At 41.3% G+C, this 23090-nt stretch overlaps 1 protein-coding gene and 1 pseudogene across 4 annotated transcripts in view; both read left to right on the top strand.

Moving 5' to 3' along the window:
- CNOT1 (CCR4-NOT transcription complex subunit 1) overlaps positions 1–23090 on the top strand; it is a 109876-nt gene that overhangs the window by 30048 nt on the left and 56738 nt on the right. For all 4 annotated transcript variants that reach the window (NR_049763.2, NM_001265612.2, NM_016284.5 and 1 more), the window contains exons 2-13: positions 268–543; positions 10873–10980; positions 11901–11999; positions 12366–12434; positions 12524–12578; positions 13031–13234; positions 14273–14441; positions 16597–16723; positions 16876–16986; positions 18264–18434; positions 19019–19146; positions 20840–21080. Coding sequence is in view for 3 of the 4 variants with exons in the window: in NM_001265612.2 (NP_001252541.1) it covers positions 442–543; positions 10873–10980; positions 11901–11999; positions 12366–12434; positions 12524–12578; positions 13031–13234; positions 14273–14441; positions 16597–16723; positions 16876–16986; positions 18264–18434; positions 19019–19146; positions 20840–21080 (1584 nt within the window). In the remaining variant the exon portion in view is untranslated. The remainder of the gene's footprint in view (positions 1–267; positions 544–10872; positions 10981–11900; positions 12000–12365; positions 12435–12523; positions 12579–13030; positions 13235–14272; positions 14442–16596; positions 16724–16875; positions 16987–18263; positions 18435–19018; positions 19147–20839; positions 21081–23090) is intronic.
- Positions 1710–2369, top strand: LOC112268167 (transmembrane protein 254-like; annotated as a pseudogene).

The following is a 23090-nucleotide window of genomic DNA, read 5'->3' as shown; positions in this document are numbered from 1 at the left end:
TTTTCTTTTTATACTTGCCCTGCCTAATTGAGAAACCTGGCATTTCTTATCAACAGTGGTTGAGCTACCTTACTATCTTTTTAGAGTCATTAGTAACATTTTAGGTACTAACACAGAGACGATGGTAGTTTAACCCTATTCTCTTCTAATTATTAATTTGCAACTAGTTGTGATCAATTAGTTGTAAACACCACTGCGCCTGGACCAGCCTCCTTTTTCCTTTTAATTTAAAAATCTGGATTTGTGTGTGTGTGTTTTTTTAAACAGGTGCCATGTTTCAGAACAGAGTAAGACCCCTGGTAAAGAAGAACTGAAGATATTATACAGATACCAGATATAGCCTAATTACAAAGAAAGCATTAACCTGCCTCTGAGGTGACTAAAGGGGAATAATGGTGATTTTGCGCCGGGCTCGGCCGCCTGCTTCCGCCCCAACCAGCAATGAATCTTGACTCGCTCTCGCTGGCCTTGTCTCAAATCAGCTACCTGGTGGACAATTTAACCAAGAAAAATTACCGAGCCAGCCAGCAGGAAATACAGCATGTAAGTAAACTAGCCAGAAAACAAGTGCCATTAAAGGAATGAGTAGACAGTGGAAAGAAAACCACACATTTATGTGGGCATGTTGCATGAAAGGTAACTAACTTTTGCCCCTTAATTCAAGTGATTTCTGTCATCATCATCTGTAAAAGAGCTCTTAGCCCAATCTTTTTTTTTTTTTTTTTTTTGAGACAGAGTCTTACTCTGTCGTCCAGGCTGGAGTGCAGTGGCATGATCTCGGCTCACTGCATCCTCTGCCTCCTGGTTTCAAGCAGTTCTCCTGCCTCAGCCTCCCGAGTAGCTGGGATTACAGGCATGTGCCACCATGCCCGGCTGTATTTTTAGTAGAGACGGGGTTTCACCATGTTGGTCAGTCTGGTCTAAAACTCCCAACCTCAAGTGATCCGCCTTGGCCTCGAAAAGTTCTGGGATTACAGGCGTGAGCCACCACGCCCAGCCCAATCTTTTTTTTAAAAAGATTTTTCACAGCTTTTTATTTTCCATAGAAATTATAAAATAGGTCTGACCTGGCTTTGGGCTGGTGCTCAGGGCCCTGAGAAACCTGCTAGCTAGGATTTTCCTTTCTTTACTTTTTTTTTTTTATTTGAGACAGAGTCGCCCAGGCTCGTGTGCAGTGGTGCAATTTTGTCTTACTGCAATCTCTGCCTCCTGGAGGAGCCTGAGCTCTGTCGCTCAGGCTGGAGTGCAGTGACGCGATCTCAGCTCACTGCAACCTCCTTGTCCTGGGTTCAAGTGATTCTCGTGCCTCAGCCTCCCTAGTAGCTGGGACTACAGGCGCCCACCACCACACCCAGCTAATTTTTTTTTTTTTTTTTTTTTTGAGATGGAGTCTTGCTCAGCTGCCTAGGCTGGAGTGCAGTGGCACAATCTCAGCTCACTGCAACCACCATCTCCCAGGTTCAAGCGATTCTCCTGTCTTAACCTTCCGAGTAGCTGGGATTATAGGCACACACCATCATGCTCGGCTAATTTTTGTATTTTAGTAGAGATGAGGTTTAACCATGTTGGCCAGGCTGGTCTTGAACTCCTGACCTCAGGTGATCTGCCTGCCTCGGCCTCCCAAAGTGCTAGGATTACAGGTGTGAGCCACTGCGCCCGGCAAATTTTTTTATTTTTAGTAGAGATGGGGTTTCACCATGTTGGCCAGGCTGGTCTTGAACTCCTGACCTCAGGTGATCTGCCCGCCTTGGCCTCCCAAGGTGCTGGGATTATAGGCGTGAGCTCTTGCGCCTAGCTCCCAGGCTTTTCTTAAACAGGGTTGGGGATGGCTCCCCAACGAACTTCATGTCTGGGTTTTTCATGATAGTGAAGTTGGAAGCCAGCAGTGCAGCTGCCACCTACTTCTGTCCAGCCAGACCCTTGCCCTTGCTGGTCATGGTCCTGGGGCTCGACTGCTTCACATGGGTTGTCTTTTGGCCTTGGAGTATCCTTTATCAGAGCCTTGGGCCCCTGGACTCCTTCACTCAGTACTTGGTGGGCCACCATCACACCCTCCTGTGCAGTGGGTATTGGCTTGCCTGGCTGAGTCATGTGGGAGAGTCCTTGTATGGTTCCTGCAGACTTTCCTCTTTGGCATAGCATCTCTCCATGTTGATTGCTTACAGATCAAAGTGCCAAACACAAACCTGAAGATAGCTGAAAGTTTTCTTTACACTTTTACATTCATTCTCAACTTTTTTTTGTGTTGAGGAGGGTGGTGCAGTGTTTATTCAGTGATCTTCCTACTTTCTTTCTTTTTTTTTTGAGACAGAGTTTCACTCTGTCACTCAGGCTGGCATACCGTGGCGCGATCTCAGCTCACTGCAACCTCCTTTTCCTGGGTTCAAGCAATCTTCCTATCTCAGCCTCCCGAGTAGCTGGGATTACAGGCTTCCACCACCACACCCAGCTAATTTTTTGTATTTTTAGTACAGATGGAGTGTCACCATGTTGGCCACGCTGGTCTCGAACTCCTGACCTCAGGCCATGTGCCCGCCTCGGCTTCCCAAAGTGCTGTGATTACAGGCTCCCAAAGTGCTGTGATTACAGGCATGAGCCATCACGCCTGGCTGATCTTTCTACTTTCTAGAAATTGTCCTTCAAAGCTATTTAAGCTACTTAGTCCTTTTTTTTTTTTTTCTTTTTAAATGCCCTGGTTGAGCTTGAATAGACCAGTTGATAAAAAAGAAATAGAAAAAGATTTAAAGATTTTAGCTGTTCAGTCCTGTTTGGCAAGAGGACTTCCAGCTACCTTCTTATGGTCCTTGACTGTCAGGACCCTTGTGTCCTCTGGGGTAAGCCACATATTAAATTGACTTTTGTTTTTTTTTTTTTTTTTTTTTTTTTTTTTTGAGACGGAGTCTCACTTTGTCGCCCAGGCTGGAGTGCAGTGGCGCGATCTTGGCTCACTGCAAGCTCCACCTCCTAGGTTCACGCCATTCTCCTGCCTCAGCCTCCCGAGTAGCTGGGACTACAGTCGCTCGCCACCACACCCGGCTAATTTTTTTGTATTTTTAGTAGAGACGGGGTTTCATCGTGTTAGCCAGGATGGTCTCAATCTCCTGACCTTGTGATCCGCCCGCCTTGGCCTCCCAAAGTGCTGGGATTACAGGCATGAGCCACTGTGCCCAGCGGTAAATTGACTTTTTAGTATGTATACCTTTGCCCCCACCTTCTGATGAAAACACCTTGCCCTCACCACCACTGTTTACCTGTCTTTTCCCAATTTTTTTTCCTACCTTGCTGGAACGAGATAAAGTGACACTCCATCGTACATCAATTCCACACACTTCTGTTAGGTACCTGTGAGGCAGAATTTTGTCCTTTCAAACTTACATTTCTCATGCTACAGAGAAAGATAAGGAAGATGAGCAAGTGTCCGGAACAGGGCAGGCTGAGCAGTCACACAGGCATGGAGCATATGCCGAGAACCTAGAAGGAAGGACTGCAGAGTGCCTCCTGGATGCTGCAGCCAGAAGTGGTCCTTCCCTCCATTTGGCCCCTGACACCATGCTCTGTAGTGTGCAGGGGTCTGATGGCACTGCTAGATTGCTCCTTCAGCTCAGGGCCACATCTTAGACAGCTTTACTTTTCCCTTCAGCACTTGTCCCACTGCCTTGCACACAGGTGCTGTCAGTGTTTATTGAACAAAGGAGGGAAACTGATTTCAATTTCACTTGTTCAGTATCATTCCAGTTTTTATGTGAAAATTGTACAACCCATTTGCGGTACCTTCATCCCAAAAGAAAAGCACAAGACTGCCTTTGATACCTTTCTGTGGATTCCCTGGTGAAAAACCTTTATCCTTTTTACACTTTTTTATTCTCCGTAACTTTCTTCAAAAGTATCTTTCCACCTCTGACTTAAACACAAAAGCATTCCTGTTTTAGAAATTCTGGCCCATGGGTTGTCTGGCTAGTTACTGCCTCTCCCATTCACCTGGTTATACTTTATTACTGGTGATGGGTTAGAGAGGCAGGATCACTGACTCTGTCACCCCTAGGAGTCATTAGGGCCCCTTCCCTGGAGGATGGCCTGCTTTTTCTCTGGGGACTAGTCCTCATTTCCCTTCCATGATACAGTGGGGCAGGTTATTTTTATTAAGCAAACATTTATGAGAACCCCCTCCCCAAAATAAAGTCCCCAAGTAAACACAACCCTGAATGGTTGTGGACTATGAATTGTTTCTAGTGAAGATAAATTTATGCAAATATATCTTAATCTTTCCCTCTGTCTGTCTTGTGATTAAGGGGTTGCTTTTTGGTAAGGAATTTTTTTGTTTTGTTTTTTAGATGGAGTTTTTTTTTTTTTTTTTTTTTGAGATGGAAAAATAGTTTTGATCATAGAGTTAGGCATTATGGAAATTCAAGCCAGATTTTTAAAAACCTGGTCATCTCCAAAGAGAAATAGTGACAGTAATAGTGGTGCGGGGAACAATATGGTAGATTATTGAATGAAATGGATTAACTTGAACAAAATGCTGTGACTTGTCTCTAAAATTATAAAATGTGATCTGACTTGTTTTGGTCTGGTTCCTCTTTTTTTTCTTTTTTGGTTCCTTTATTTTTCACATTAAAAAAATGAAATATCCATAGGTTGTAAAATTCACCTTTTTTGTTTTTTTTTTTGACGGAGTCTCACTCTGTCACCCAGGCTAGAGTGCAGTGGCGTGATCTCGGCTCACTGTAACCTCCGCCTCCCGGGTTCAAGCAGTTCTCTGCCTCAGCCTCCCAAGTAGCTGAGATTGCAGGTGCCTGCCACCATGCCCGGGTAATTTTTTTGTATTTTTAGTAGAGACGGTTTCACCATCTTGGCCAGGCCGGTCTTGAACTCCTTACCTCATGATCCACCTGCCTCAGCCTCCCAAAGTGCTGGGATTACAGGCGTGAGCCACTGTACCTAGCCTTTTTTTCTTTTTCTTTTTCTTTTTTTTTTTTAATGAGACAGTATTGGTCTGTTTCCCAGGCTGGAGTGCAGTGGCATAATCTCAGCTGACTGCAATCCCCGCCTCCTGGGTTCAAGTGATTTCCAAGCCTCTCCCTCCCCAGTAGCTGGGATTACAGGCGTGCACCACCACATCTGGCTTATTTTTGTTTTTAAGAGAGGTGGGGTTTCACCATGTAGGTCAGGTTGGTCTCAAACTTCTGGCATCATGTGATCTACCCGCCTCAGCCTCCCAAAATTCTGGGATTACAGACGTGAGCCCCCACGCCTGGCCAGATTTCACCCTTTTAAAATATATAATTTGGTAGTTTTTCAGATTCACAAAGTTGTGCAACCATAACCACTATCTAATTTCAGAACATTTTCATTACCTCCAGAAGAAATGCCTGGGTTCATTTGCGGTCACTTTCCTTTTCCTTCTCTGTCTAGCCCTTAGTGACCACTATTCTATTTCTGCCTTGGTGCATTTGCGTATTTAATGGAATCGTACTGTATGTGGCCTTCTGTGTCTGGCTTTCTTTTTTTGTTTTTTGTTTTTGTTTTTTTGTTTTGAGATGGAGTTTCGCTCTTGTTGCCCAGGCTGGAGTACAGTGGCATGATCTCCACTCACTGCAACCTCCGCCTCCCGGGTTCAAGCGATTCTCTTGCCTCAGCCTCCTGAGTAGCTGGGATTACAGGCCTGCGCCACCACACCCAGCTAATTTTGTATTTTTAGTAGAGACGGGGTTTCTCCATATTGGTCAGGCTGGTTTTGAACTCCCGACCTCAGGTGATCTGCCCGCCTTGGCCTCCCAAAGTGCTGGGATTACAGGCGTGAGCCACCATGCCTGGCCTTGCCTTTTTTCATTTAATATAATGTTTTCAAGTAGGATTCATCTGTATTGTAGCATGTATCAGTACTTCATTTCTTTTTATGGCTAAATAATATTCTACTATATAGATATTTCATATTTTGTGTATCTGTATCATCAGTTGATGGATATTTAGTTTTGCTTCTGCTTTCTTTGGCTACTGTGAATATGGTTGCTATCAACATTTGTTTAATTTAACTTTTCCTCACTTACTTTTTGAGACAGAGTCTCACTCTGTTGCCTAGGTTGGAATGCAGTGGCAAGATCATCATCTCCTCAAACTCCTGGGCTAAAGCAGTTCTTCTGCCTCAGCCTCCTGAGTAGTTAGGACTACAGGCATGTGCTACCATGCCTGGCTAACTTTTTTTTTTTTTTTCCCTTGAGACGGAGTTTCGCTCTTGTTGCCCAGGTTGGAGTAAGTACAATGGCACGATCTCCGCTCGCTGCAACCTCCACCTCCCAGATTCAAGCGATTCTCCTGTCTCAGCCTCCCAAGTAGCTGGGATTACAGGCATGTGCCACTATGCCTAGCTAATACTGTATTTTTAGTAGAGACGAGGTTTCTCCATGTTGGTCAGGCCGGTCTCGAACTCCCGACCTCAGGTGATCTGCCTGCCTTGGCCTCCCAAAGTGCTGGGATTACAGGTGTGAGCCACTGCGCCCGGCCAATTTTTTGTATTTTTAGTAGGAACTGGGTTTCACTATGTTGGCCAGGCTGGTCTCAAAATCCTAACCTCGAGAGATCCCGCCCTCCTCAGCCTCTCAAAGTGTTGGGATTACAGGCATCAGCCACCGCGCCTGGCCGAAATATGTATTCTTAACCTGTGTTTTGTTTTTGCTGTTTGTTTTACAGTTTCTTAAAATAGGTTCCATCCTGATTCTTTGTGTTTTTACTTTTGAATTGACCCAATTATTTATTCACATCAACAATCTTGGGCATGCTTGAGGGTGAGGAGTATGTTGAGGGTAGTCTCCCCTTTCTGTTTTCAGCTTTGGTAATGGTTGCCGCCTCCTCTTCTGCATTCTGCTTTTCCGGCACACTCCTTTGGCTAGATGGTTAATCACAGATATTTAAATGATATCTTGATCTTGATTCTTCCCTCAGCTCTATACTCTTGACCATTCTGCTATTTCTGTGGGCTGATGTGGGTCTCTAAATGGACAACTTTTTTCTTTCATGGCTCATTGGTGTTGCAGATTCATCACTTGAACAGAGGATATTTGTATGTTTTGGGGCATTTGTCGGTCCTAAACATTTTAATTTCTGAATTTATCAGTTTCAAAGAGAAATCTGAATTTGGCCCATTTTTAGAGGTGGTAAGAAGGACCTCTCTGGACTACTTTGTTTGTTTTAGGGAGATGGAGTCTTGGTGTGTTGACCAGCCTGGAATGCAGTGGCTGTTCACAGACACATTCATGGCACGCTGCAACCTCCAGCTCCTGGCCTCAAGTGATCATCCTGCCTCACCCTCCCCAGTAGTTAGGACTATAGCTGTGCTCCACCACACCCAGCTTGTTTATATAATAACTTTCTAATTTAACAATTGCTTTTACAGCCACTCAGTATTTTTAATACCGTGTTAATAGGGAAGATTTTTTTTTTTAAGTCAGTTTTGCAGTAATTAAAGACAAACATTTTATGGCTGTGAATGGAATGTTTCTTCTATGCTGCCATGCTGTCTGCTCCTCACCAGGAGCAACTGTTTCTTCTAAAACTATTTTATAAACAAAATCTTGGGTTACAAAGATGTTAAGATTATATTTATCCTCTAAAATTAAGCCCTACACTTTTTTGCTTAAAATAGAAACCATTCTACCAGTTGGGAAGGGGAGACGAGTAAAATAATTAAAAAATTGTATTAAACAGCTTAAAATCTGGTAGCAAAATCTTAATATATGAAAAATTAAGTATATCAAGGGCTTTTGGCAATATTTCTATAATGTTTCGATTTATGGCTGTAGTAAAACATTGTGATCTAGGAGCCACATATTAGGAGGGACATTAGCAAATAAGTCTATGATGTCAGAGATTTCGAAAATTATATGGAATGGTTGAAAAAAAATCATATGGAATGGTAGGCACTATTTGACCTAAAGAAGACATGAGGGAGGATTAAGACTTAGAGTGTATCAAACCTATGTGCCACACGAATAATGGAGTATCCCATAGTTAACTTTTTTTTTTTTTTCGAGACGGAGTTTTGCTCTTGTCGCCCAGGCTGGAGTGCAATGGTATGATCTTGGCTTACTGCAACCTCTGCCTCCTGGGTTCAAGCGATTCTCCAGCCTCAGCCTCCTGAGTAGCTGGGATTACAGGAGCATGCCGCCACGTCCGGCTAATTTTTGTATTTTTAGTAGAGATGGGGTTTCACCATGTTGGTCAGGCTGGTCTCGAACTCCTGACCTCAGGTGATCCGCCCAGTTCAGCCCCACAAACTGCTGGGATTACAGGCATGAGCCTCCGAGTCCGGCGCATAGTTAAATTTGAAAACATATTCTGCCTCTTAAAAATATTCATTGCAGGTTTTTATTGTATAATCTGCATGGGAAAAAAATTAAGAGTTACAGAAACAAATGTAAGGATAACGGGATTTTAGTAAATCTTTGCTGATCCTAGTGAAACAAAAACTTGAAACTTTTTTATTCTTTGGCCATTGACTGTGTGATGAAATGTGCCTTCTATTTTTTTAGGTTGATAACACAGTCTCAGACAAGTCAGTGTATTCATTAACCATGATCTGGCCCTCTGATTCCCTCTGACCCTTTTTCTGATCTTCAGAGTTCTTTTCTGTCTCTGTGCTTTTGCACTCTAGGTTTTTCCTTCTCCCTGGATTGTTCTTTCTTCACCTGTATCTATGGTTGTCTCAGCTCACAGGTCTCACCTTAGAAGGCTTCTCTGAGGTAACCGCCTGCATCAATGTTAGCAAGCTCTGTTTTACTTTCTTTTTGTTAACAGATAATGTTGTCAGAAATTCTTTGCCTGTACTTCTCCCACAAAAATTGACTTTGTGAGAATTTGGAACCTATTAGTCTCTGCTGCTGTGTTTACACCTAGACTAGTACGTAGCATATACTCAGCAAGTGTAGGTTGAACCAGATTATTGTATTTTTTCAAGGGTGAGAGATCTGGTTAATTGGATCATAGTTAATTCTGTTCTTTTTTGTTTTATTTTTTATTGAGACAGGGTGCTGCTTTGTCCCCACAAGGTGGGAGTGCAGTGGCACCATCATAGCTCACTGTAACCTTGAACTCCTGGGCTCATGTGATCCTCCTGCCTCAGCCTCCCAAGGTGTTTGGATTACAGGTGTAAGCCACTGCACCCAGACTCTGTTCTATTTTTTTTTTTTTGGAGACAGAGTCTCACTCCCTCATCCAGGATGGAGTGCAGTGGTGCAATCTCTGCTCACTGCAACCTCCGCCTCCTGGGTTCAAGCGATTCTCATACATCAGCCTCTCAAGTAGCTGGAAATTATAGGTGTATATCACCATGCCTAGCTATTTTTTTTGGTAGAGATGGTCTTTCTTAACTTCCATATTTTCTGAATGAAGAGAAGGGAAACTGAAATAAGCTAAGAACTTAGACAGCTTTCATGTTATTATCATGATATAGTGGGAAGATCATAGGCTTTGAAGTTGGACTATAAATCCAGATTCTTCAACTCATAGACTTGGATTTTAGGCTCAAGGAGTCTGTTTTAAATATGTCAACCCCTTATCCGTGGGGATAGATGGTGGTAAATTTTAGCAGTTTTTGAAGATTAAGCCAGGAAAGCTCAGTGCAATATGTAGCCCAACGTGTAGGTAGTATGTGGCTCTTAGCAAACGTGATTACTCTGCACATACACTGTGCTCAATTATTTTCTAGACTAGATGTGCAGAAGTGAACACAGCTATACAAAATTTCAATAAACAAATTAGCAGGTAGTGGTAAATGCTATGGAGAAAAAGTAAAGCAGAATAAGGAGTGATGCTGGGGCAGGTCATATTTCTGTTTTAGGAATGGTAATAAGACCTCACTGATAAGGTGACTTTAGAGTAGAAACCTAAATGAAGTGAAAGAACAAACCATGTATAGCCATCTGGAGTTTTTCATTTAGAAAGAATAACAAATAGAAACAAACATGGGTAAATTTGAGGAAGGGCAGGAAACTGAGCTCAAGGGCAGCATCTAAATCACTGAAGTCGGATCTTATGGCAGCTTCATTTAAGGCTGTGCCACGTAGCATTACAGCTGTGTTAGCAGAGAGAATTTGAGTTACGTAAAATTGTTGCCTTAAAAAAAAACCTTTTGTTACACATTTGATCAATGCCATGTGGTGTTTTTGGTGTAGATGTTGAGCAAAGTACAGAGTTGCATGGTAAAATTACTGTAGTTTTTCTTCTCTTCCTGCCAGTGACTGACTATAGGAAACAATTTTTTTTTCTTTTTTTGAGACGACGTTTCACTCTTGTTGGTCAGGCTGGACCACAATGGCACGATCTCAGCTCACTGCAACCTCTGTCTCCCGGGTTCAAGTGATTTCCTGCCTCAGCCTCGCGAGTAGCTGGGGTTACAGGCACCCATCACCATGCTTGGCTAATTTTTGTATATTTAGTAGAGACGGGGTTTCACCATGTTGACCAGGCTGGTCTTGAACTCCTGACCTCAGGTGATCCATCAGCCTCGGCCTCCCAAAGTGCTGGGATTACAGGCGTGAGCCACTGCACCCGGCCCAGGAAACATTTTTATAATATTGAATTACAGCTGGAAGCAGTGGTGTATGCCTGTGATCTTAGCTACTCAGAAGGATGAAGCGAGAAGACGCTGTGAGTCCAGGAGTTGGAGATCAGCCTGGGCAATATGGACCCTCTCTAAAAAAAAAATTGAGTTATAAATTATGGGCACTTCCATCAATAATTCCTTTAACTTTAATTCAAAAATGAGTAACTAATGTAAATTGGAATTTTGCCTTGGAGGTTGATTTTCTTTTTTGAAACCTTACTTTTTTTTTTTGTTTTATCTTCCCTTATTAAACATGTTATTTTTGGTCATTTTAGATTGTGAATCGGCACGGTCCTGAGGCAGACAGGCATTTATTACGCTGCCTATTTTCGCATGTGGATTTCAGTGGCGATGGTAAAAGCAGTGGCAAAGATTTCCATCAGGTATTTGGGGCTTACAGAGTTCATGTCCACTTAGCTGTAATTGTTAAATGAATTTTGGGCATAGTGTATGTAGCATATGACACGTACAAAATAGCATCCGGAAGTGATTGTAGCTGGATGGTGAAAAGGTGTTAGATTTTTCCTTTTTTTTCTGTGCGTCCCTTCTGCCTGGCTGTAGACTATAACAGCTACCTAGTTCAGGTTTAGAGAGGTAGGGATCAGACCTGCCTGAAGGAAGCAGGAATGTGAGGGTTCCCTGCCTGAAAAGTTAGTAAGGCAGAGGAGATCTCATGTCCTGGATTGAATCTCTAGCTTTATTCCCCATCTGGCAAGAGTTTGTCATAATACTGTTTCTTACAGTAATCTTGTCAATGAGCTCTTATTTTCTGGAAGTTTTGCTGCTAATAGACTTTGAGTAGTGTAATGAGTTTTTTTTTTAAAAAACTCTATTTTTATAACTTTCTTTACATCTTTTTTTATTTCCTGGTTCCTTTTACCTTGGGTGTTTTTGAGACAGAGTCTCTCTCTCGTCACCCAGGCTGGAGTGTGGTGGCTCACTGTAACCTCTGCCTCCTGGGTTCAAGCGATTCTCCTGCCTCAGCCTCCCAAGTAGCTGAGATTATAGGCATCTGGCACCAGGCCTGGCTAATTTTTGTATTTTTAGTAGAGAGAGGGTTTTACCATGTTGGCCAGGCAGGTGTTGAACTCCTGGCCTCAGGTGATCCACCTGCATTGGCCTCTCAAAGTGCTGGGATTACGGTTGTCAACCACCGCACCTGGCGAGATTTTTAAAGAGCCGATTTTGATAATATATAACAGTATATAGTGTTAGATCACATTTTAATGTTCTGAGTACCTCAGCTTCTGTTTGTTCTTAGATGATGATTAGTGCTAATGAAAATCATTTTTTATTTTTAAAGACTCAGTTTCTGATTCAGGAGTGTGCGTTGCTGATTACAAAGCCAAATTTTATCTCGACGCTGTCCTATGCCATTGATAATCCATTGCACTATCAGAAGGTTGGTATTACTATTATCTTTAAGAGTGTGATCTCTCCTTAGGCTTTCTAAAAAGTCCCTAAGCCTTGATCTCATAATGTGATGTCTTAATATAAAAATTTCAGGTTGTTATTTTGGGGTGTCTTTTATAGTTTGTAACAAAATCAAGGCAGTTCATTTAATAATAAATAGAATCTTACTAAAACCAGATCATGTGAAGGCTTAAGTTTGTCATTTCACAGTTTTAGGACATAGTGTAATGTTTCTAGTAACACTACAGAATTAAGCAACTCCTATGTAGTGCCATCCTTGGGCAAACAGATAGGTTGTTAAAAACTTCTTGAAAAAGTAAGTTCTTATTTTAAACTAAAATTTGGTTTGTTTCAGAGTTTAAAGCCTGCACCCCACTTATTTGCCCAGCTGAGTAAAGTGCTCAAATTAAGCAAAGTACAAGAGGTGAGTGATTTATGAAAAGAGATGTAGACAAAACTAGAATTAAAAACAGCCATTTGACTCTTTGGTTAATCTAATCCTTCTTGTTTCAGGTAATTTTTGGCCTTGCCCTGTTGAATTCTTCCAGCTCAGATCTTAGAGGTTTCGGTGAGTTACTTTTTCCAAAAATATCACGAAGTGAGACTTTAAAATACGTGGGTTTTTAATCATGAGGCTCTGTGATTTAGACTTAGAGAGTAAGATAATCTGAAATTAATTTCTCTTTATCTGTGGTAAAAAACATGTAATATAAATGTTACCCTCATAACCACTTTAAGTGTACAGTTCCATAGGGATAATTGTATTCAGGTTGTGTAACATCTCTCTGGAACTTTATTTTGCCAAACAGAACTATGCCCATCAACAACTCTCTATTTTCCCCTCCCCACTGCCAGTCCCTGGCCATTGGTTTCTTTATACCTGTCAGCTAGAGAAAGCATTAGAGAGATGGGTGAACTGGTGAATGAGAAGGGTGATTATCTGCATTTTGATGGTATATGACTTTTTAACCCATTGTGGTGCAAAAGTAACTTGCGGTTTTTGGTTTACCTGACTTCTAGCTGCCCAGTTTATCAAACAGAAGCTTCCAGATCTTCTGCGTTCTTACATTGACGCAGACGTCAGTGGAAATCAAGAAGGTGGCTTCCAAGATATAGCAATAGAGGTCCTACACCTCCTCCTCTCCCATCTCCTCTTTGGGCAGAAGGGAGCCTTTGGAGTTGGACAAGAACAGATAGACGCTTTTCTTAAGACGCTGCGCAGAGGTAAGGGAGTCTTTGTAGCCTACAGTGGGTGGTTTTCTTGGATGACCACAGACACATCACAAAAGCATTCCCCCCTCCCCTCCCCTCACCCTCCCCTCCTCCCTGCCCTCCCCTCCCCTCCTCCCTGCCCTCCCCTCCCCTCCCTCCCCTGCCCTCCCTCCCCCTCCCCCTGCCCTCCCCTCCCCCTCCCTCCCCCTCCCCTCCCCTTCCCCTCTCCCTCTCCTCCCCTTCCCCTCCCCTCCCCCTCCCCCACCCCCACACCTCTCCCCCCTCCCCCTCCCCTCGCCTCCCCTCCCCTCCGCCTCTTTCTCTTTTTAAAAAAGAGACAACATCAGCTGGGCACAGTGGCTCAGGCCAATAATCCCAGCACTTTGGGAAGATCAGGCGAGCATGACACCATACCTAGCCTTACATGCTATTTTTAGCTTAAAAAATCGGTCACTTTTGATGTGCTCACTTCACCTCCTTGGATATCGGCATTGTAAAGTTAAGATAAATCCTAGTTATTTTGTTGCCTCTGAGCTTTCATGTTTGAGAAAGATAAGAATTCTTTTCACAACAAATCTGATAGTGGATTAACATCCATTCTCATGGTTACTTTTATTTACTTCTTAATGTTTATAGAGTTTAATTTTAATGTACATTAACATTCTCACTAATGGGAAACTTTCCACTTGCCAGTGAAATAAATAGACTGATATTCTAATTGTTTGTTTTTGATGCTTTCTTTGTATGGGAAGTGATAGCCCTATTGTGCAAATTTAAAGTAATATTTAGGGTACGAATTGGTCAGTAGATGGAATGCCAGTGTCAAATGTTAAAGGTACACTGATGAGCATTTTTTGTGATATAAAAGTATTCAAATTTTGGAATTGATGTTAAAGTCGTAACTTCGGCTAGTAGGCTGGAAAAATGAAATAAGCTTGGCTTTGAATATGAACTTGTGAGAGAATTGGGTTTGAGGGGATTTTGGATAGAGCAAAAGAGGATTGTTTGTTTTTAATTAGTATAGCAGTTGTAACCTTTTTCCTCTCTCAGATTTTCCCCAAGAACGCTGTCCCGTGGTGCTCGCACCACTTTTATACCCTGAAAAACGGGACATTCTAATGGACAGGATCCTGCCTGATTCCGGAGGGGTAGCTAAAACCATGATGGAGAGCTCTTTGGCTGATTTCATGCAAGAAGTAGGCTATGGCTTTTGTGCAAGGTTGGTAGTAAAATGTGTTAAGCTTCTGATTATTCTTGTGCCAAACATGATGTAATTCTTTAAAAAAAGTCTCTAAAATTCCTTAAAGTTAATCATCTTTTCTTCTCAAGAGGCATGCTTCTAAATTTTAATCTTCCACGAACTAGTGTGTGTGACAGCTGTAAACATCCTGGGTGTTAAATGTTTATCTCCTTCCCCTCACCAGTTTCTCAAAATTAGGAGCCAGAGGTTTCCAGGCTAGTTGCCACAATAGGCATATTTTGGCTTTTGGAAGGAAGAGAGAGCATTGAAGCAAGTTAGTGTTTATGGAACTTGTATCGCTTTACACTTAATGTGACTAATTTTCTCCTCTCTGACCCCCACCCCTCTAATTTCTTCATTCTGCCTTCTTCTGTGGCTTCCTTCCTTTTCTGCCTCTTGCGTATTTTTCTCACTTGCTTAGGGCACCAAAGGATATTGTTTCACACTGTTAGTAGCACTTAAGACTGTGATACACTGGATTATTAATATTTTTCTAAAAGCAAATTATTAAGGGGATTAATGTGCTTTGCTTTGACTTAAAAATCCTTATGTTTTAAAAACTCTCAGACAAATCACATTCTCACTGAGGTTTGAAATAGTGCATTTGTGAGTGTTGTACTTGTGCCTGGCATATAATTTTTGTTAATCAAACTGAATAAGATGCATAGTGAAAAGTTAGGATGCAGGCTGGGCACGGTGGCTCATACCTGTAATCCCAGCACTTTGGGAGGCCGAGGTGGGCGGATCACCTGATGTCAGGAGTTCAAGACCAGCCTGACCAACATGGTGAAGACCCTGTCTATACTAAAAATACAAAAATTAGCTAGGTGTGGTGGCACGTGCCTATAATCCCAGCTACTCAGGAGGCTGAGGCAGGAGAATCACTTGAACCCAGGAGGTGGAGATTGCAGTGAGCCAAGATCGTGCCACTGCACTCTAGCCTGGGCAACAAAGCGAGACTTCGTCAAAAAAAAGCGAGACTAACAAAAAAAAGTTAGGATGGATTTTCAAGGCTGTGTACATATCAGAATAATAAAACTCACTTTGGATGTTAAAATCTTAAAGAAGATTGAAGATAATTTTGTTATTGTGAAAGAGAGCATTACTCATGAGTCTTATTTTCTTCCACTGAATTTTTTTTTTTTTTTTGAGACGGAGTGTTGCTCTGTTGCCCAGGCTGGAGTGCAGTGGCACAATCTTAGCTCACTGCAACCTCCACCTCCCAGGTTCAAGTGATTTTCCTGCCTCAGCCTCCTGAGCAGCTGGGACTACAGGTGAGCGCCACCATGCCTAGATAATTCTTTGTATTTTTAGTAGAGATGGGGTTTCACTGTGTTAGCCAGGATGGTCTTGATCTCCTGACCTCGTGATCCACCCGCCTCAGACTCCCAAAGTGCTGGGATTACAGGCGTGAGCCACCACACCCGGCTCTTACACTGATTTTTTAAAATTGTTTGCCTGTTTTAAAAAAATTTTCAGGCTGGGCATTGTGGCTCATGCCTGTAATCCCAGCACTTTGGGAGGCTGAGGTGGGTGGATCACTTGAGGCCAGGAGTTTGAGATCAGCCTGGCCAATGTGGTGAAACCCCATCTCCACTAAAAATACAAAAATTAGCCATGCGTGGTGGTGCATGCTTGTAATCCCAGCTATTTGGGAGGCTGAGGCAGAGGTTGCAGTGAGCCAAGATTGTGCCATTGTACTCCAGTACTCTTGTACTCCACAGGAAGTGGAGCCCAAGCGGAAATACTTGCTCACCTCCTGCTGTGTGGATGATTTCTAACAGGCCACAGACTGATAACAGTCCATGGCAGGGGGTTTGGGAGCCCACTGCATTGTATCATTCTTATGCCTTTGCATCCTCATAGCTTATCTCCCATCTAACAAGTGAGAACATACAATATTTGGTTTTCCATTCCCGAGTTACTTAGAATAATGACTTTTGCCATTTTCTTACTGAAGTAGATGGTTTTTACATTCCTAGCTGTATAAATGTAACAAGAAATAACACTTACTGCTCTGCCTGTTTTATTTAGTAAAACTAAGGCTTTCAAACAAGGTTCATTTAATGCCAGAATTTCTCAATCTCGGTGTTGAGGCTGGTAGCATTTTTCTGAAGTTATATTTCTGTTTCAGTATTGAAGAATGTCGCAATATAATCGTGCAGTTTGGTGTTCGGGAGGTCACAGCTGCCCAGGTTGCAAGGGTTTTGGGAATGATGGCTCGAACTCATTCAGGATTAACAGATGGCATTCCATTACAGGTGTGTTGAATTCAGCTATTTTACCAAGTGAGTTAATGTCCTGTCCTCTTTATTTTTTTTTAATTAAATTACAGTATGATTGATTGTTCTATCGACCAGAAGTGAACACATGGAGTAGTTGGGTTTGTTTAATTCAAGTTTTACTTCTACAGAGTATTTCTGCTCCGGGCAGTGGGATCTGGAGTGATGGGAAAGATAAAAGTGATGGAGCACAGGCACACACATGGAATGTAGAAGTCTTGATTGACGTTCTTAAAGAACTGGTGAGTATATGTGATGATGATTTTTGATTTGTGGTATTTGAATGATATAGTCCAAAGAAAGCAAATTTTTAAGAATTTTCCACCTTCGTTAACTCAAAAAGTAATAAAGTGTCCAAGTTAATTGTGTACTGCAGGCAGTACGTAACCAAATTTAAATTTTTTCATTAGGGTTGTTACCTTGTAATTTGGGGTGCTACTTCTAAGTTACTCTTGTTTATGGTGGATAAGAACAGTGAAAATCATAATTATCTTGCCACTTCTACTTCGGTTGCAAACTGAATAAAAAATAAAGTACCTCTACTAAAATATTGAAGGGCTTAAATAAGACATAAAGGAATTGAACTCTATTTATTTTTCCTTTTGCTGTGTTGCCCATATTGGACTTTAACTCCTGGGCTCTAGTTAGTGATCCTCCCACCTTTGGGAGCAAAGCGTTGGGATTACAAGCGTGAGCCATTGTACCTGGCCTAGAATGGAACTTTTGTTTTTGTTTGTTTTTTTTAGACGGAGTCTCACTCTGTTGGCCAGGCTGAAGTGCAGTGGCACGATCACAGCTCACTGCACCCTCTGGCTCCTGGGTTCAAGCAGTTCTCCTGCCTCAGCCTCCCAAGTAGCTCGGTCTACAGGCTTGTGCCACCATGCCTGGCTAATTTTTTTTTTTTTTTTTTTGTATTTTTAGTAGAGACAGGGTTTCATCATGTTGGTCAGGCTGGTCTCAAACTCCTGACCTCAGGCAATGCGCCCTCCTTCCAAAGTGCTGTGATTACAGGCATAAGCCACTGCACCTGGCTCTAGAATGGAACTTTTAGATATTAAAAGGTAGTGTGATAAGCCGGTTGTGGAGGCTCACTCCTGTAATCCCAGCATTTTGGGAGGCCGAGGCAGGTGGATCACATGAGGCCAGGAGTTTGATACCATCCTGGCCAGCATGGCGAAAACCTGTCTCTACTAAAATTTTAAAAAATTACCTGGGCATGTTGGTGTACTTCTGTAATCCCAGATACTTGGGAGGCTGAGGCACGAGAATCTCTTGAACCAAAGAGGCAGAGGTTTCAGTGAGCTGAGATCATGCCACTGCACTGCAGCCTGAGCAACGGAGTGAGACTCTGTCTTAAAAAAAAAAAAAGAAAAAAAAAGAATGGGTTTCTTAAAATTCACATTAAAAATTTTGTAAGTAGAACATCTAAATTGAATTTCAGATTTAATTTGGCCTTTTGGATAATGTATCAAAATATACACACATTCATTACATTTTAAACTGCTTTGGTCTTTTTTAGAATCCAAGTTTGAATTTCAAGGAAGTAACTTATGAACTGGACCATCCTGGATTTCAAATTCGTGACAGTAAAGGACTTCATAATGTGGTTTATGGCATTCAGAGGGGTTTGGGTATGGAAGTGTTCCCAGTAGACCTCATATATAGACCTTGGAAACATGCTGAAGGCCAGGTGAGTAAGTGGTATTTAGCTATAGATGGGGGAATAAAACATGACTTATTCTTTATGTAGTGCCATCTACCCATTGATCGAAATATTCTTGTAAAGTAGAATTTGTTATACATAGCACAGAAAAGCAAGGACTGTCCATAAGTATTGAAGGAATATTATCATAGTTTTAGTATTAGGCAGACTCCTTTAAGGTGTAACTGTCAAGGTGTTTTCCCAATAGTTTAATGATGTTCATTTCCAAGGCAACGTTAAGTTTCCCTAATTGGCTCAGAAATGTCTTTTAACAGTCAAGGTGTTTTCCCAATAGTTTAATGATGTTCATTTCCAAGGCAACGTTAAGTTTCCCTAATTGGCTCAGAAATGTCTTTTAACAGTTGTTATGATTGATAATCCAGACAGGGTTTCATTATGCACCTTTAATGTGTCTGAATTATGTGTGGTTTTCAAAGGGCAAATAATTAAGATTTTAAACGGGAAATTGCCATGCTAATAACCTTAAGATTGACAATAGCCTAGTGAAAACATTTCAGATTTTTATAGCATTCACAATCATTTATGGTGGTAAGCATTTTCTTTCATTGCAGCTCTCCTTCATTCAACATTCCCTTATAAATCCAGAGATCTTCTGTTTTGCTGACTATCCCTGTCATACTGTTGCCACTGATATTCTGAAAGCACCACCAGAGGATGACAATCGAGAAATTGCCACATGGTAAACACTTTGATTCATCTTTCATTTAAAAGATTACTTCTTATTTTGTGAAATATAAAGTTAATAGTAAGCCAAGTACATAGTTAACAGGTTTAAATGAAGCAGTAGTTTTAGTGACCTTACTTATCTTAAGTATTTATAGAGGGGGTTGGTAGATAAATTCTTTTTCAGTCTCTATCGTTAGTTATATCTTGTAAGGTCTGTCTTTAGGTGTTCTTTTAAAAGCATCAAATCTGAAAGTATCAAATGTTGGAAAGATTTGTACTTCCTCCTTTCTCCCTTAGTATTGAGATTTCTTCTCTGTAGAGCTTATGCCTTTTTTTTTTTTTATTTGTAAGTTGCTCAAGGTGGCCAACCTGTCAAATCTAATAGTTTTCTTTTCTTTTCTTATTTATATTTTTGGGATGGAGTCTCGCTCTGTTGCCCAGGCTGGAGTGCAGTGGCACAATCTCAGGAGTGCAGTGGCACAATCTCAGCTCACTGCAACCTCCGCCTCCCCGGTTTAAGCGATTCTCCTGCCTCAGCCTCCCGAGTAGCTAGGATTACAAGTGCTCACCACCGCCCTGGGCTAAGTTTTATATTTTTAGTAGAGATGAGGTTTTACCATGTTGGCAAGGCTGGTCTTAAACTCCTGACCTCAAGTGATCCATCCGCCTCGGTCTCTCAAAGTGCTGGGATTGCAGGTGTGAGCTACAGCACCTGGCCAAATCTAATGCTTTTCAGCTAAAGTATCTAGTTTCTCTGAGTTCCAGTTTCAAATTTTCGAGGTAGAATCTTAGTCCGGCCTGGTGTGTATATCAGGTTTCTCTTGGAACTCTGTCCCGTCATTCCTCTCTGTGAATGTGTGAAGAAAGAATGGTACAAGTACTTTGATCATTTTTGAAGTACGCAGGGCTACAGGGAGAGAGCGCGGCCTGAATTGTTCCCCAAAGGGATCTAGTTCATAATGTATCTTCAATTTTTTTCTATCTATACCCTCCCAGAACACATTTCTGTTATTGATCAAATAATTGTCTTTACTTTTTTTGGTGGTGGTGTGTTCTTTTCTTAGGTGGTAGCCAACATTAGATTTGAAAAATTGCTTATTTTTTTCCTTATGAGTCTAGTGTATATAGTAGTGTTTCTTCTTCATTTTATTTGAACAGATAAAGGGCTCTTTCCATTTTTATAAAGCTTAAATACCATTATCACATTAACAAATAACAGTTCCTTAATATAGGTAGTTATTTACATTTAAGTTCCCCAATTGGCTCAAAAATGTCTTTTAAAAATTTCTATGATTGAGAATCCAGACGCAGTCCATAGTTTCTTTTATTCTGTAAATCTGTCTTTGTTCTGTCTTTTAAATTTATTTTTTGCCATTGATTTGATAGAGAAATACAGCATTTGTTCTCTAGTCTACCCCATGTTATTTTCTTACCTGTTTTCTCATGGTGTTTACTTCATTCTCTATCCCCATGGTTTTCATGGGCTGAGGATAGAGTTAGATCTTCAGGCTCAGTTAAAGTCAACCAGTTTCAACCTCTTGGGGCAAAAATAATTCTTAAAGAGAGTGCTGTGGACTTCAAACTTCTAATATTAAAACATGACACCAACTTGGTTTTGTGCTTACAAGCTGGTATCACTTATTTTGAAAATTAATCTGTATACTTGGATTTTCATTGATAAAGCATGTTTCTTCCTTTCTCGTTAGGAAGAGCTTGGATTTGATTGAATCTCTGCTGAGGCTTGCAGAGGTTGGGCAGTATGAGCAAGTCAAACAGCTCTTCAGCTTCCCTATCAAACACTGTCCAGACATGCTGGTATTGGCCTTACTACAAATTAACACCTCTTGGCATACCTTGCGCCATGAACTTATCTCCACTCTGATGCCAATTTTCCTTGGAAACCATCCTAACTCAGCTATTATTTTGCACTATGCATGGCATGGGCAGGTAAGATGTGACCGTGTGCTTACCATTTTTTCATCTGAATAATTGATCTTCTTTGGAGTGTTGAGGAAGCTCAACCAGAGAAATTTTTTTTTACATCTCTGAATTATTATGACTTTAAAAGTCATACTGTCATAAAACTTGTTTTATCTTTTAGAATCATGTGAGCAATAAAATACAAGATCCCAAAAGCAAGGAGGCAAAATAATATTTAATAATTTTATTTTCTTTCCTTTTTTTTTTTTTTTTGAGATGGTGTCTTGCTCTGTCGCCCAGGCTGGAGTGCAATGGTGCAGTCTTTCTCACTGCAACCTCCATCTCCTGGGTTCAAGTGATTCTCCTGCCTCAGCCTCCTGTGGAGCTGGGATTACAGGCGTGCATCACCATGCACAGCTAATTTTTGTATTCTTAATAGAAGTGGGATTTCACCATGTTGGCCAGGATAGTCTCAAACTCCTGACCTCAAATGATCCACCCACCTCGGCCTCCCAAAGTTCTGGGATTACAGGTGTGAGCCACCACACCCGGCCAATATTTAATAATTTCAATATTAAGAAAGGTCTGTATTGCTAGGGCATCACTTTCCTTTTTATGCGAAGGAGCTTAAACATCTATCATGGAGGCAGAAGGTATTGATGTCATATGTTCACAAGAAATGAGAGATCACAGAGCAATTTTTAATTAGCACTCTTTTCTAATTTATCTAAATCCAACATTTACATTTTATTTCAGTTTGTGCTGAAATGCCTTTCAAGCCCCTGTGCTTTTTACCTCTAATTTTGTAGAATGTATTTGGCAAGTAAGTATTCTTTTGTCCACTGATTTTTTTCCCTCCCCTACTTTTTTTTTTTTTTTTGAGAGAGAGGATCTTGCTTGCCCTGTCACCTAGGCTGGAGTGCAGTGATGCAAACATGTCTCACTGCAGCCTCAACCTCCCAGGCTCAGTCAGTCATTCTGCCTCAGCCATCCTAAGTAGATGGGACCACAGGCACATGCCACCATACCCGGTTAATTTTTTGAATTTTTGTAGAGACAGAGTCTTGCCCTGTTTCCCAAGCTAATATCCTACATTATATGATACATGCAGAAAAAAACTTTCTTCCCCTTTACCCCGAGTGCCCTTTTTAGCTACTTTTTATCCTTTACCCATACTTGGAGTAGTTTATATTATATACAAGTGCTTTTTACAAATTAGTGAAATAAGGCTCTTTATTATAAGTGAAAAATGTTAGCCTTAGTTCTAGGTCATTCAGTTAGTTTCCCCTCCTTTCCTAGAGACTCAATTAACATTGTAGACTTTAACAGTTTACAAAATGCATGATAAACATTTAACCAAGCATTTGCAGTCCAGATGGTCTTCATTCCTTTCTCACCATAGCTGTGAGGTAGAAAGGGCTGGTAAACGAGCTGCATCTCCTCACTTGTGATTGAATACTTGTTCTAGCAGACCATCTGCCACTCTAGGACAATTAACTGGGATATTACTTAGATATAGCAATAGTAGTGGTCTTGCTGTTGCTTCTATGATAAATACTCACTGAATTCTAGATATTTGCATCATTCATCGTTGTTTCTGAAAACCAGGCTACCTGCCAGTAAAAAAAAAAAAAGAAATGGAATTAAAAAAATCAAAGATTCTTGTTTGTGGAAATAAGATTTAGAATGTGTGTACAGGCGCCACTCCCAGAAGTAGTGATACATCCAACACTATACTGTGCAACATCAGAAATAGTTACCTTAAATTGTTTTGTTTTTATTTATATACCAGTAATTTGCATTTAAAGTAATTATATAAACTTGATGTAACCTCATGTTCACATAATCTAGTTCACATTTGTGTTTCTGAAAATGATAGTCAGACTTAAAATAGGACAAATAAGTTTGTTGAATGACTATATGACCCAAGTTTAGGAACAGGCTTTATTTGGAATATGTGGAGGTAACTTGGCTTTCCCATAAAGAACGTCACGGTAATTGCATAGTTTGAGGCCTGAACTTAATGTCAGCACAGGT

Source organism: Homo sapiens, chromosome 16, assembly GCF_000001405.40.
Source record: "Homo sapiens chromosome 16, GRCh38.p14 Primary Assembly".
NCBI classification, from domain to species: domain Eukaryota; kingdom Metazoa; phylum Chordata; class Mammalia; order Primates; family Hominidae; genus Homo; species Homo sapiens.
This window is presented reverse-complemented; position numbering and strand designations above follow the sequence as displayed.